This window comes from Homo sapiens, chromosome 22 (genome assembly GCF_000001405.40).
Source record: "Homo sapiens chromosome 22, GRCh38.p14 Primary Assembly".
Classification (NCBI taxonomy): domain Eukaryota; kingdom Metazoa; phylum Chordata; class Mammalia; order Primates; family Hominidae; genus Homo; species Homo sapiens.
Window position 1 is genome coordinate 36,425,075 of NC_000022.11, and position 13,318 is coordinate 36,438,392.

At 51.0% G+C, this 13,318-nt stretch overlaps 3 annotated features.

Moving 5' to 3' along the window:
- Positions 6,908 to 7,543: an enhancer, noted in NCBI's record as "H3K27ac-H3K4me1 hESC enhancer chr22:36828027-36828662 (GRCh37/hg19 assembly coordinates)". NCBI's record gives its function as "activates a minimal SCP1, AML or CMV promoter by ChIP-STARR-seq in naive H9 embryonic stem cells {active_cell/tissue: H9 hESC(naive)}" and the evidence as "EXISTENCE:reporter gene assay evidence [ECO:0000049][PMID:30033119]".
- Positions 10,571 to 10,700: an enhancer, noted in NCBI's record as "active region_18934". NCBI's record gives its function as "activates an Ori minimal core promoter by ATAC-STARR-seq in GM12878 lymphoblastoid cells {active_cell/tissue: GM12878}" and the evidence as "EXISTENCE:reporter gene assay evidence [ECO:0000049][PMID:35858748]".
- Positions 10,722 to 11,357: an enhancer, noted in NCBI's record as "NANOG-H3K27ac-H3K4me1 hESC enhancer chr22:36831841-36832476 (GRCh37/hg19 assembly coordinates)". NCBI's record gives its function as "activates a minimal SCP1, AML or CMV promoter by ChIP-STARR-seq in primed H9 embryonic stem cells {active_cell/tissue: H9 hESC(primed)}" and the evidence as "EXISTENCE:reporter gene assay evidence [ECO:0000049][PMID:30033119]".

Here is a 13,318-nt window from a genome sequence, read left to right on the forward strand (position 1 = left end):
TTGAGGTGGGAGAATTGCTTCAGCCCAGGAGGTTGAGGCTAGGCTACAGTGAGCTATGATCACACCACTGCACTCCAGCCTGGGGGACAGAGCAAGACTCTATCTTAAAAAGAAAGAAAAAAAGGAAGAAAGGAGGGAGGGAGGGAGGGAGAGAGAAATTGATTCACAAGGCAAGGAAAAGAAAGAAAGAAAGAAAAAAGAAAAGAAAGGAAGGAAGGAGAGGGAGAGAGAGGAAGAAAGAGAAAGAAAGAGAGAAACAAAGATTTCAGAAGACTCTAACATAACAAAAAAAGAAGAAAGAAAAACAGAAAGAGAGAGACAAAAAGAGAAAGAAAGTGAGAGAAAGAAAAAGAAAGAGAAAAAGAGAGAAAGAAAGGTGGTTAAAGAAAGCTCAGGTGTGGGGCCAGGTGTGGGGGCTCACACCTGTACTCCCAGCACTTTGGGAGGCAGAGGGGGGCAGATCGCAAGGTCAGGAGTTCAAGAGCAGTCTGGCCAATATAGTGAAACCCCATCTCTACTAAAAATACAAAAAATTAGCCGGGCGTGGTGGCACAAGCCTGTAGTCCCAGCTACTCGGGAGGCTGAGGCAGGAGAATCGCTTAAACCCGGGAGGCAGAGGTTGCAGTGAGCCGCGATCGTACCACTGTGCTCCAGCCTGGGTGACAGAACGAGACTCCGTCTCAACAAAACAAAACAAACAACAAAAAAAGAAAGCTCAGGTGATTTTTTCAATTTCTTCTTCTTCTTCTTCTTTTTTTTTTTTTTTTTTTCCCAGAGACAGCGTTTCACGCTGTTGCCCAGGCTGGTCTTGAACTCCTGGCCTTAAGCGATCCTCCTGCCTCGGCCTCTCAAAGTGCTGGGATTACAGGAGAGGCACCGCACCGGCCTCAGGTGTTTTCTGGGCTTCTGTGCATTTCTGCTCCTCTCTGGGTTTCTGTCTATCTCTGACTCTCCCTGTGTCTCTCTCTTCCTCCCACACTCTTGCTGTCTTTCTCTGTGTAGTAACTTAATTTCCCCCTCTTGTTTCCTTTTCTCTTGTCTCTTTCTCTATGCCTCTGACTGCTCATCTTCTGTTACCTTCTGTCTCTGGTTCTCTCCTTTCTGTGTCTCACTGTATTTTTATTTATTTATTTTTTTGGTCTCTCCCAGTCTCTTCCAACTCCTTCTGCCCTTTTCCCTTCCTCTTCCTCCTCTCCCTGCCCCACTTCCTCCCTCCCCCTCCTCCTCTCTCCTCCCATCTCTTTCCCTGCCCTGTCTCCCCCTGGAGCTCCCACACAGGGACCCAGCTGGCCTCTCAGAGAGAAGAGGCTCCCTGGAGGCCCAGCAGGAAGTGCAGTTTCCCCTTTGACCTGTCAGCTGGCCACTGGGGACGCAGCTTCCCTCCCACTCCTGTCCACCAGGCAGCCTGTGAAGACTCCCTGGAGCTGGGGATAGAGTTTTGAATCTCGCCATTTGAGGGGCTCTGAAGACAGGCTTTACCCGGAGTGGGAGAGAAGGGGACTGGGCTCCAGGGGAGGAGAACCCCATTTTCACGGGGCACCTCCTGGGTGCTGGTTCTCCACCAGGTCCTGGGGAGAGGGATTGTCAAAGGCCACAGTCCCTTTCTGAGAGACAGAAAGACACAAAAGGGAAAGAGCCGGGGGATGGGGGGCAAGAGAGGTCTCTGTGGAGGCAGGGCTTCCGGGCCAGCCTGGATGAAAAGAACCACCCCCACACATTGCAGGGCTCCTAAGATATTTTTACAGGGACTGAAGACCCTTAGGAGGGGCGGTGTGTTGTCAGAAAGTGTCCAGGAGTCGGAGTCAGAGGTCCGGCTTCCGAGTGCATTTCCACCATGCTGTGTGCCACCTTGGCCATCTGGAGTAACCTCTCCCCGCCTGTTTGTGTCAGAGGCATTGGAACCACAGCCACTCCATCTTGAATAGGGGCTGGGTAAAATGAGGCTGAGACCTACTGGGCTGCATTCCCAGACGGTTAAAACATATCTCACAGGATGAGATAGGAGGTCAGCACAAGATACAGGTCATAAACACTTTGCTGATAAAACAGGTTGCAGTAAAGAAGCTGGCCCAAGGCCAGATGTGGTGGCTCACGCCTGTAATCCCAGCACTTTGGGAAGTCAAGGCGGGCAAATCACCTGAGGTCAGGAGTTCAAGACCAGCCTCACCACATGGAGAAACCCCGTCTCTACTAAAAATACAAAATTAGCCGGGCATGGTGGCACATGCCTGTAATCCCAGCTACTCAGGAGGCTGAGGCAGGAGAATCACTTGAACCTAGGAGGCAGAGCTTGCAGTGAGCCGAGATGGCACCATTACACTCCAGCCTGGGCAACAAGAGTGAAACTCCATCTCAAACAAACAAACAAACAAAAAAAGAAGCTGGCCCAAACCCACCAAAACCAAGATAGCAATGAGAGTGACCTCTGGCTGTCCTCACTACTACACTCCCATCAGCACTATGACAATTTACAAATGCCATGGCAATGTCAGGAAGTCACCCTATATGATCTAAAAAGGGGAATATGAATAATCTACTCCTTGTTTAGCGTATAATCAAGAAATATCTGTAAAAATGGGCAACCAGTGACCCTTGGGGCTGCTCTGTCTATGGAGTAGCCATTCTTATATTTCTTTACTTTCCTGATAAACTTGCTTTCACTTCACTCCCTGGACTCACCCTGAATTATTTCTTGCCTGAGATCCAAGAATCCTCTCTTGGGGTCTGGATCAGGACCCCTTTCTGGTAACATTTCTTCATGTATAAAATAGGCGTAAGCGACCTGCTTATTATAAAGGGGTACAGAGTCAAGGGAGGGAGGCGTTAAAGGAGCCAGAGGTAGCAGAGGGAACCCACACTGACTGACCTGCAGTGGCTATAAAAACTGCTATAATGGGTGGATCTCCTGAGGTCGGGAGTTCGAGACCAGCGTGGCCAACATGGTGAAACCCCGTCTTCACTAAAAATACAAAAATTAGCTGGGCGTGGTGGCATGCACCTGTAATCTCAGCTACTTGGGAGGCTGAAGCAAGAGAATTGCTTAAGCCTGGGAGGCGGAGGTTGCAGCGAGCCGATATCACTCCACTGCATTCCAGCCTGGGTGATAAACAAGAGTGAAACTCCGTCTCCAAAAAAAAAAAAAAAAAAAAAAAAACACCATAAACTTGGTGGCATCAAACAACACAAATGCGTCCTCTTATGGTTCTGGAGGTGAGAAGTCCATTGGGAACCTCACCAAGCCCGAGTAAAGTCAGCAGGGCCTTGATCCTTCTGGAGGCTCTGGAGAGAATCCACTTCCTGGTCATTTCCAGCTTCTGGGGCCATCCACCTTCCTTGGCTCCTATCTCCTTCCTCCTGGCTTCAAAGCCAGATGCCATGCTCCGTCTCCGTCTCTTTTCCTCCCTCTTCCACATTTAAGGACCCTGTGATTACATTGGGCCCACCCACGTAATCTAGGAAAATTTTCCTATTTAAGGTCAGCAACCTTAATTTCACCTACAGCCCTAATTTCCCTCTGCTATGCAACCTAACCACAGCTTCCAGGGACCAGAACCTGGACAATTTTCTGCCTACCACACCTTTCAAAGGAAGAAGGTTTTATGGGCCTGACTCAGTTTAATCTTCCCAACAAGCAGAGGTGTGTGTGGGGCTGGTAGATGCGGTGTTTAGGGCTGTTAACCCATATTACAGATGAAGAGATTAAGGTTAAGATCACACCATCATTAAGCATTGGAGCTGAAATTCAGATCCGGGTCTGACCTCACATCCCATGCTCTTCCCACCTGCAAGTTTTCTTTGAGACTTCAGGACTATAGAAAAGCAACACATTGCCGGGGGCGGTGGCTCACGCCTGTAATCCCAGCACTTTGGGAGGCCGAGATGGGCGGATCACCTGAGGTCTGGAGTTCGAGACCGGCCTGACCAACATGGAGAAACCCCATCTCTACTAAAAATACAAAATTAGCCAAGCGTGGTGGTGCATGCCTGTAATCCCAGCTACTCGGGAGGCTGAGGCAGGAGAATGGCTTGAACCCGGGAGGCGGAGGTTGCTGTGAGCCGAGATCGCGCCATTGCACTCCAGCCTGGGCAACAAGAGCAAAACTGCCTCTCAAAAAAAAAAAAAAAAAAAAAGCGGCACATTATTTAATTCACTTAATAAATTTGTAGGCCAGGTGCGGTGGTTCATGCCTGTAATCCCAGCACTTTGGAGCCGAGACAGGCGGATCACCTGAGGTTGGGAGTTCGAGACCAGCCTGACCAACATGGAGAAAGCCCGTATCTACTAAACATACAAAATTAGCCGGGCTTGGTGGCACATGCCTGTAATCCCAGCTACTTGGGAGACTGAGGCAGGAGAATCACTTGAACCCGGGAGGCAGAGGTTGTGGTGAGCTGAGATGGTGCCATTGCACTCCAGCCTGGGCAACAAGAGCGAAACTCCGTCTCAAAAAATAAAATAAAATAAAATAAAATAAATAAATAAATAAATAAATTTGTGGAGCCCTCATACTGTTCGTAAAGCAAAATGCTGACTGCCGTAGAGGGATACACAGAGACTGAAAATGTGGGCTCTTAGGTTGAGCGCAGTGGCTCATGCCTGTAATCCCAGCACTTTGGGAGGCTGAGATCATCTGAGGTCAGGAGTTCGAGACCAGCCTGGCCAGCATGGTGAAACCTTGTCTTTACTAAACAACAACAAAAAAAAACAGCTCAGTGAGGGTAGCTATTGTCATTACTACTATTTTAATTATTTTTTAAAAAAATTTTCCCATGTTTTAAAATCCTCCATTCATGGCAAACTATTAGTTAATTCTTTTTTTTTTTTTTTTTTTAGATGGAGTCTTGGTCTATTGCCCAGGCTGGAGTGCAGTGGTGCAATCTCGGTTCACTGCAACCTCTGTCTCCCAGTTCAAGCAATTCTCCTGCTTCAGCCTCCCAAGTAGCTGGGATCACAGGCATGCACCACCACACCCAGCTAATTTTGGCATTTTTAGTAGAGACGGGTTTTGCCGTGTTGGCCAGGCTGGTCTGAAACTCCTGACCTCAGGCGATCCACCCGCCTCGGCCTCCCAAAGTGCTGGGATTACAGGTGTGAACCACTGCACCCGGCCGGCAAACTATCTGAATTCTGATCAGGATTCTGGGATAAGACAGCAAGATGAATGGTGTTGGATGCTTATAAAAGTATCCTTTTTTTTGGGGGGGGGGGTTCGGGTAAAAAAAGTACTGAACAGGGAGTCAAAAAATCCCAGATTGAAGGTCTTTTTTGTTCCCTAATGATCAATGAATCTTGAGCAAGCCACTTCTTTGCTTGCCTTGGTTTCTTCATCTTTAAAAAAATTATGATTTTTATTTATTTATTTTAGTTTATTTATTTTATTTTTTGAGACAGAATTTCGCTCTTGTTGCCCAGGCTGGAGTGCAATGGCATGATCTTGGCTCACCTCCCGGGTTCAAGTGATTCTCCTGCCTCAGCCTCCCGAGTAGCTGGGATTACAGGCATGCACCACCACGCCCAGCTAGTTTTGTATTTTTAGTAGAGACGGGGTTTCTCCATGTTGGTCAGGCTGGTCTCGAACTTCCGACCTCAGGTGATCCACCCATCTCGGCCTCCCAAAGTGCTGGGATTACAGGCATGAGCCACTGTGCCTAACCTATTTTTATTTTTATTTTTTGTAGAGACAGGGTCTTGCCATGTTGCTCCTCGCCTCAAGCAATTCTCCTTCCTCAGCCTCCCAAAGAGCTGGGATTACAGGATTACAGGCATGAGCCACCGTGCTCAGCCAGTTTCTTCAACTTTAAATGGAACGATGAAGCATGCCTGCCTGGCTTCTGGATTTGTGTGAAGATCAAATTGAATTAGGTCCGAAAGTGCCTTTTGCAGGTTGTAAAGAGCCATTCGGACATAAAGGCTCAGTTTGTCTTCACCATCTTCCCAGGAAGCATCTGCTGAATGGGGTGACCAGTAGGTCACCGGAATGAGTCACCGAGGTAACACACTAGCAGTGCCGAATGAACAGCGGCTGTCATATTGACCCACTAAAACACCAGGTGGACAGGGGATTATCATTGGAGGCCCAGAGTGCTTAGGTGACGTGCCCAGGGTCTCACTGTTACAGAGGGGGCTTAGGGTCTGGGATGGGCCCAGGACTTCCCAACTCCTGGCCCTGTCCTTGCTGCTCCCCGACCCTGCCCATTCCAAAGGTAAACTGAGCCAGTGGTCCTCCATCTCAGAGCAGGCCTGAGTGCGTGCTGACCCCAAGCCAGATGCAAGAGTTACCCTAAAATCTTCCTGCCCTAAGGGCTTTACAAGTTGGTTAGTCCTGGGATCTTTCCATGTAGCTATACGTAGCAAACCATGTCTCCCAAGGACGTCCTACCTGGAACGCCAATGGGCAGGACAGAGAAAGTGGAGTCCTGAGTCTCACCCTTACCCACCGCATCAGCTCCGCAGCCTTGGGGTTTTTTGTTTGTTTGTTTTTGAGACGGGGTCTCACTCTGTCACCTAGGCTGGAGTGCAGTGGCATGATCATGGCTCACTGCAGCCTCAACCTCCCGGACTCAAGTGATCCTCCTGTCTCAGCCTCCTGAGTAGCAGGACCATAGGCATGTGCCACCATGCCCCGCTAATTTTTTCTATTTTTTGGTAGAGATGGGGGTCTCACTATGTTGCCCTGGCTGGCCCCAAACTTCTGGGCTCAAGTGATCCTCTTGCCTCAGCCTCCCAAAGTGCTGGTATTACCGACATGAGTCATCACCGATACCTGGCCCCTCGGGCCTTCTTATTTTTCTCAAGTATCTCATGTTCACTGCCCCTCACCCAGGCCTTTACTTCTCCTCCTCCCTCTCCAGAGGCAGTGTGCCTAGCACTTAAAAGCAGGGACTTCAGGCTGGGTGCAGTAGCCGTGCATCTAGTCCCAGCAACTCAGGAGGCTGACGCAGGAGGATTGCTTTAGGCCAGGAGTTGGAAACCAGCCTGGGCAACCTAGTGAGACTCATCTCTACAAAACAAAAAAGCAGGAACTCTGGAGTCCAAATACTGGTCCCTGCACTTATCTGCTGTGTGTCCTTGGACAAGTTACTTACCCTTTCTGGGCTCTGGCCCCTTCATCTGTGATATGGGGGTATCGTGGTAGCACAATCACAGCGCTGTGTGAGGAATAAATGGGAGTCCTCACATCCGGCCTGTAGCAGCGCCTGAGCCCCGGCGCACACCCCCCAGGCTCACTGTTTACTTCCCACAGCATAGATGTGGGCCCTCCTGGAGGCCATTTCTGATACCCTACATCCTACTTCTCCGCCCTGCATCCGATCCATAAACCCTCATGGAGTGCTCCCCGGTGCCAGGCTGGACTAGACATGATGCGGAGACTAGCAGGAACCAGACAGGGCCTCCTCTGGGAGCTCTGAGACAGGAGCTCAGAACCCTGTGCGGGAAGCCCCAGGAACTTGCTCTTGAACATTCTCGGGCTCCCCAAGGCCTCCTTCCCTGGGAGCTGAATGAATTGGCCTCACCTGCCAGTCCCCAGGTGACCCCCGGGAAGGAGCTGAGAGCCTGGGACGGGTGCTGGGTTCCTTCTTCATTTTGTTCCTCTGGGTCTGTCCCTGTGCTGAGAAGAATGGCCCCTGGCCCTCTTAACCCAGGAATGCTGAGCATTTCTTAACACCACTAAGGAGGAAGGGGCGGAAGCTTCCTCCCCCAAGCTCTAGAAGGATCCAAATTATTTGCTAAAACCACAGTCCAGGCGAGGTCTGGGCAGATGGGGTTCTCAGAAACCAGGCAGAGATTCTGGCTCCGATTACTCTGTGGGGAGCGGGAAGGGCAGCTGTCCCTAAAAAGGAAAATTAGCCACGCATGGGGGTGGATGGATGGAGGTGAGACCGGAAAAGAACTCTTCTCCGCAGGGCTGTGGGGCTGCCCTGGACATGCATGGGCAGCTGGTCCTCCCAGCCCAGGCCCCTTCTCATCCCACTCCCTACTCCAGGTCTCCACCAGGTCATCCTTTTCTCTCTTCCCAGGCCTTATTTGTCAAATGCCTCTTTCTAGGACCTCTGTTGGCTGGAGTCTGGTCTCAGATCATTCATTCCATAGCTATTTACTATGCGCCAGAAGCTGCACTCACTGGGGGTCCAGGCAGCTCAGGGACGGGGACAGTGTGCTTCATGCGGGCAGGAGCTATGTCGTGTCTTCCGTGGTGTCCCCAGGGCCTGGCTCAGCGTGGCCACAGGCTAGACACAGGAGCAGGACTTGGCAGGGTTGGCCCGGCTTTCCCAGCACCTCCAGGCCCACTCTTTGTCCTCACCTGCATCCCACGGCTCCTTCCTCTCCCCGTCCCTTCCCCAGCTCTGCTCCCCCAGCCCCCACTCCCCTGTTTGCTCAGCTGCCTGTGGGGGCCTGCACTCCACCTCCACTGGGCCCACAGCCAAGGTCAACAGGACCAGCCTCCTGGCCCTGGAGATGTGGGTGCAACACAGGCTCCAACTGAAGGGCACCAGACTCCCCGGACTATTCCTGGGCCGGCTCTCCCCTACCCACCTCCGCCACATTCTGAGTGGTCTCCCAAATACAGACCCAGGAGGCCAATCTCCTGGGCTCCTGTATCAGTCAGGGCTTAACCAGAGAAACAGAACCTGGAGGAAATATAGAGGCAGAGATAAAGATGGACAGATAGATTGCAAGGAATTGGCACATGTGATTGTGGGGCTGGCTGGGAAAGGCTGACAGGTGCAGGCAGGCCAGCGGGAGGGGCGGGCTGGGGCTCAGGCAGGGACTGAAGCCGCTGGCCGTAGGTGGAATTTCTTCCCATCTCCAGATTCCTAACTCCGTCACATCTGCAAAGTCCCTTTTGCCATGTAGGTTAACACATTTGCAGGTTTGCGGGATCAGGACATGGACATCTTTGGGTCATTATCTGGCTCACCGCAGCCCCAGAGGGCCTACTGCCCTTCCATTTGTTCATTCACTCATTTCTTTCTTCCTTCCTTCCTTCCTTCCTTCCTTCCTTCCTTCCTTCCTTCCTTTCTTTCTTTCTTTCTTTCTTTCTTTCTTCTTTCTTTCTTTTTCTCTTTTCTTTCTTTCGTTCTTTCTTTTTTCTTTCTTTCTTTCTTTCTTTCTTTCTTCTTTCTTTCTTTTTCTCTTTCTTTCTTTCTTTCATTCTTTTCTTTCCTTTCTTTCTTTTGAAATGGAGTCTCGCTCTATTGCCCAGGCTGGAGTGCAGTGGCGCGATCTCGGCTCACTGCAACCTCCGCCTACCGGGTTCAAGCGATTCTCCTGCCTCAGCCTCCCGAGCAGCTGGCGTTACAAACGTGAGCCACCACGCCTGGCTAGTTTTTGTATTTTTAGCAGAGACGGGATTTCACCATGTTGGCCAGGCTGGTTTCAAACTCCTGGCCTCAAGCGATCTGCCCTCCTCGACCTCCCAAAGTGCTGGGATTACGGGCGTGAGCCACCGCGCCCGGCCTCATTCACTCATTTCTTTTCCCAGGGTCCACCTACCCAGGCTAGGCCTGCTGTGCTGAGGACACCGAGGGAGGCAGACCGTGGCCCTGCCCACCATAATTAAGTGTTGGAGGCCACTGTCTAGGGGTAGAAGCAGCCACAGAAACATAGAGATACAGAGAAACAGGTGACTCAGTGAGGTCAGGGCACAGGACCTTTATGACATGTGGGGAGGGTGAGGTCTGAGAATGGAGGAGGGAAAGACCGGCTGTGTGGAGGGAAGGGGGTGCCTGTGGGGCCTCGCCCCTGGAGCCCTGGGACCCTCCTGCGCTAGGGGTGCAGAGTCCACAGCGAGGGACAGTGCACAGTTAGGCAGGCTCTATGCAGTCAGTTTTACTCCAACCCTTTGTTGGCAAGAGGGGAGGGAATCGGTTATATTAAAACAAACACAGACAGAGCAGGGAGTGCGAAGGCCACGTTCATAAGGTTCCTTCAGTAAACAACAAAGACCTGGAGAACTGTCGAGTGAGCCTCTAGTTCAGTTCCTTGACCCGCCTTTTCCCTCCCCACTTTCTCCTGTATCCCACCAGCTCCTCTTGCAATGAGGCACTGCTGTGGGTTTGAGAAGCGCTGAACGGCCCAGAGCTCAGCCTGGACTAGAAAGACTCAGGTGCGCCAGGCGTAGTGGCTCACGCCTGTAATCCCAGCACTTTAGGAGGCCGAGGCAGGCGGATCACCTAAGGTTGGGAGTTCAACACCAGGCTGACCAACATGGAGAAACCCTGTTTCTACTAAAAATACAAAATTAGCCGGGCGTGGTGGCACATGCCTGTAATCCCAGCTACTCAGGAGGCTGAGGCAGGAGAACTGCTTGAACGTGGGAGGGGGAGGTTGCAGTGAGCCGGGATCGCGCCATTGCACTCCAGCCTGGGCAACAAGAGCACAATTCCATCTCAGAAAAAAAAAGAAAAAAGAAAAAAAGGAAGGCTCAGGTGCTCCTTCATTCAACCACAGTCACAGAGATGCCCAGCCAGGTTCTTCCTGCCAACATGCACGTCTGAGGCAGGGACCTGGCCGAGGGCTGGCTGGTCAATAAAAGGCCCCTCCCTTCACGGCCTTCCCTGTCCCCACCTCCTAACCTCTGGTTTTCACCAGCTTCCTCTAGCTTCTTTTCAACACAGCTTTCACTGCTGGCGGCCTCTGTGTCTTTGATATCCCGCTAGGTGCCGGGCTCTCTGCTCAGCAGTGCGGATGCAAGAGGAAACCAGGGTGGCCCATCAAAGCAGCCCCTGGGTTTGAATCCTGGCCCCACCACTTAAAGCGGAGTGCGGGAAGTTTCCTTTCCTCGTCTGTCAAATTAGGGTATTTCCCCACCCTCACACCTGGCTTAAGGCACTCATCTTCAGCTCAGGAGGAATCCTGCTCACAGTTACAAAGGCTCAGTTACTCAACCTCCTGCTGCAATAGATCACACCCTCCACTTCAAGAACAGTCCCCAGAAAAGCAGCCACTGTGACTGCCGGGTTCACCACAGCGTCGCCAGTGTCTCTCACCGGGTCTGGCACGCGGCAGGGGCACAATAAATACCCCCCCTTCATTCCTTCAGCTTATGCATATTAATCATCAGACAAGTGCTAAGACTTAGGCATATCTTTTCTCATTTTCCAGCTGAGCAAAGTGAGACTCAGAGAGGTCAAGTGGCTTGCCCATAGTCACACAGCAAGTAAGTGACTAAGCTGATATTTAGAACTAGTTCTTCCACCAGACTTTTTCCACTTGACCCAAAGTGTCAAAGTGTAGAAATATGGAGGCAAGGAAAGGGTTGGTCTTTTGGGAAGATGACCAGAACAGCAGATGAGAAATGGGCTGGGGCAGGTTCCCTATGGGCATTGAAGGTCAAGTGGGGGATAGGAGGGCTTAGGCTGTCATCCTGTAGGCCACAGGACTGGAGGTTTGTTCCTGCTTTGGGCCCTTGTAAAACTAAAGTGGAGGCCGGGCATGGTGGCTCACGCCTGTAATCCCAGCACTCTGGGAGGCCGAGGTGGGCAGATCACCTGAGGTTGGGAGTTTGAGACCAGCCTGACCAACAAGGAGAAACCCCATCTCTACAGATACAAAATTAGCAGGGCGTGGTGGCACATGCCTGTAATCCCAGCTACTTGGGAGGCTGAGGCAGGAGAATTGCTTGAACCTGGGAGGCAGAGGTTGCGGTGAACCAAGATCATGTCATTGCACTCCAGCCTGGGCAACAAGAGCGAAACTCCGTCTCAAACAAACAAAAAATAAAGTGTCACAGGCAGACGGCTTATCACACTACTCAGTTTTCTTACCTGAAAACATGGCACAGATGTACTGATAAGGGTTAATAATCCCAGTGGAAAGAGTTTGAGCCTTGGCGTCAAATATATCTGGGTTAAAATTCCAGCACTACCACTTCCTGGTTGGGGGACCTCAGCAAACAATAAAATGATTTACCCGTCTGCCTCTCAGTGTCCAGCTCAGGAGAATAGGTCTGATCTTTTTTTTTTTTTTTTTTTTTTGAGACAGAGTCTCGCTCTGTTGCCCAGGCTGGAGTACAGTGGCGCAATCTCGGCTCACTGCAACCTCCATCTCCCGAGTTCAAGTGATTCTCCTGCCTCAGCTTCATGAGTAGCTGGTACTACAGGCATGCGCCACCACGCCCAGCTAATTTTTGTATTTATTTATTTATTTTTTTAGTAGAGACGAGGTTTCAGCATGTTGGCCAGGCTGTTCTCGTACTCCTGACCTCAAGTGATCCACCCGCCTCAGCTTCCCAAAGTGCTGGGATTACAGGCGTGAGCCACTGTGCCCTGCCTGATCTTTTTATTTATTTATTTTTTTCCCAAGACGGAGTCTTGCTCTGTCACCCAGGCTGGAGTACAGTGGCTTGATCTTGGCTCACTGCAACCTCCACCTCCCGAGTTCAAGCGATTCTCCTGGCCCATCCTCCTGAGTAGCTGGGATTACAGGCACGTGCCTCCACGCCCAGCTAATGTTTGTATTTTTAGTAGAGATGGGGTTCCACTATGTTGGCCAGGCTGTCTCGAACTCCTGACCTCAGGTGATCCACCCACCTCGGCCTCCCAAAGTGCTGGGACTACAGGTGTGAGCCACTGCGCCTGGCCACTCTATGGGCTTTTCATTTCTTTCTTTCTTTCTTTTTTTTTTTTTTTGAGACAAGGTCTCACTCTGTCACCCAGGCTAGACTGCAGTGGTACAATCACAGCTCACTGTAGCCTTGACCTTCCAGGCTTGAGCCATCCTCCCACCTCAGCCTCCCAAGTAGCTGGGACCTCAGGCTCATGCCACCATGCCCAGCTAGTTTTGATTTATTTTTTGTAGAGATGAGGTCTCACTTTGTTACCTAGGCTGATCTCGAACTCCTGGACACAAGCATCTTCCTGCCTCGGCCATCCAAAGTGCTGGGATTACAGGTGTGAGCCACAGTGCCTGGCTTCTTTTTCTTTTTGTTTCTTTTCTTTTTTTTTTAAGAGTCAGGGTCTCAAGCCGGGAGCGGTGTAATCCCAGCACTTTGGGAGGCTGAAGTGGGTGGATCACTTGAGGTCAGGAGTTCGAGACCAGCCTGGTCAACATGGTGAAACTCCATCTCTACTAAAAACGCAAAAATTAGCCAGGTGTGGTGGTACATGCCTGTAATCCCAGCTACCAGGAGGCTGAGGCAGGAGAATTGCTTGAACCTGGGAGGCAGAGGTTGCAGTGAGCTGAGACTGAGCCACTGCACTCCAGCCTGGGCGATAGGGCGAGGCTCCGTCTTAAGAAAAAAAAAAAAAAGTCAGGGTCTCACTCTGTCACCCAGGCTAGAGTGCAGTGGCATGATCATACCTCATTGCATCCTCC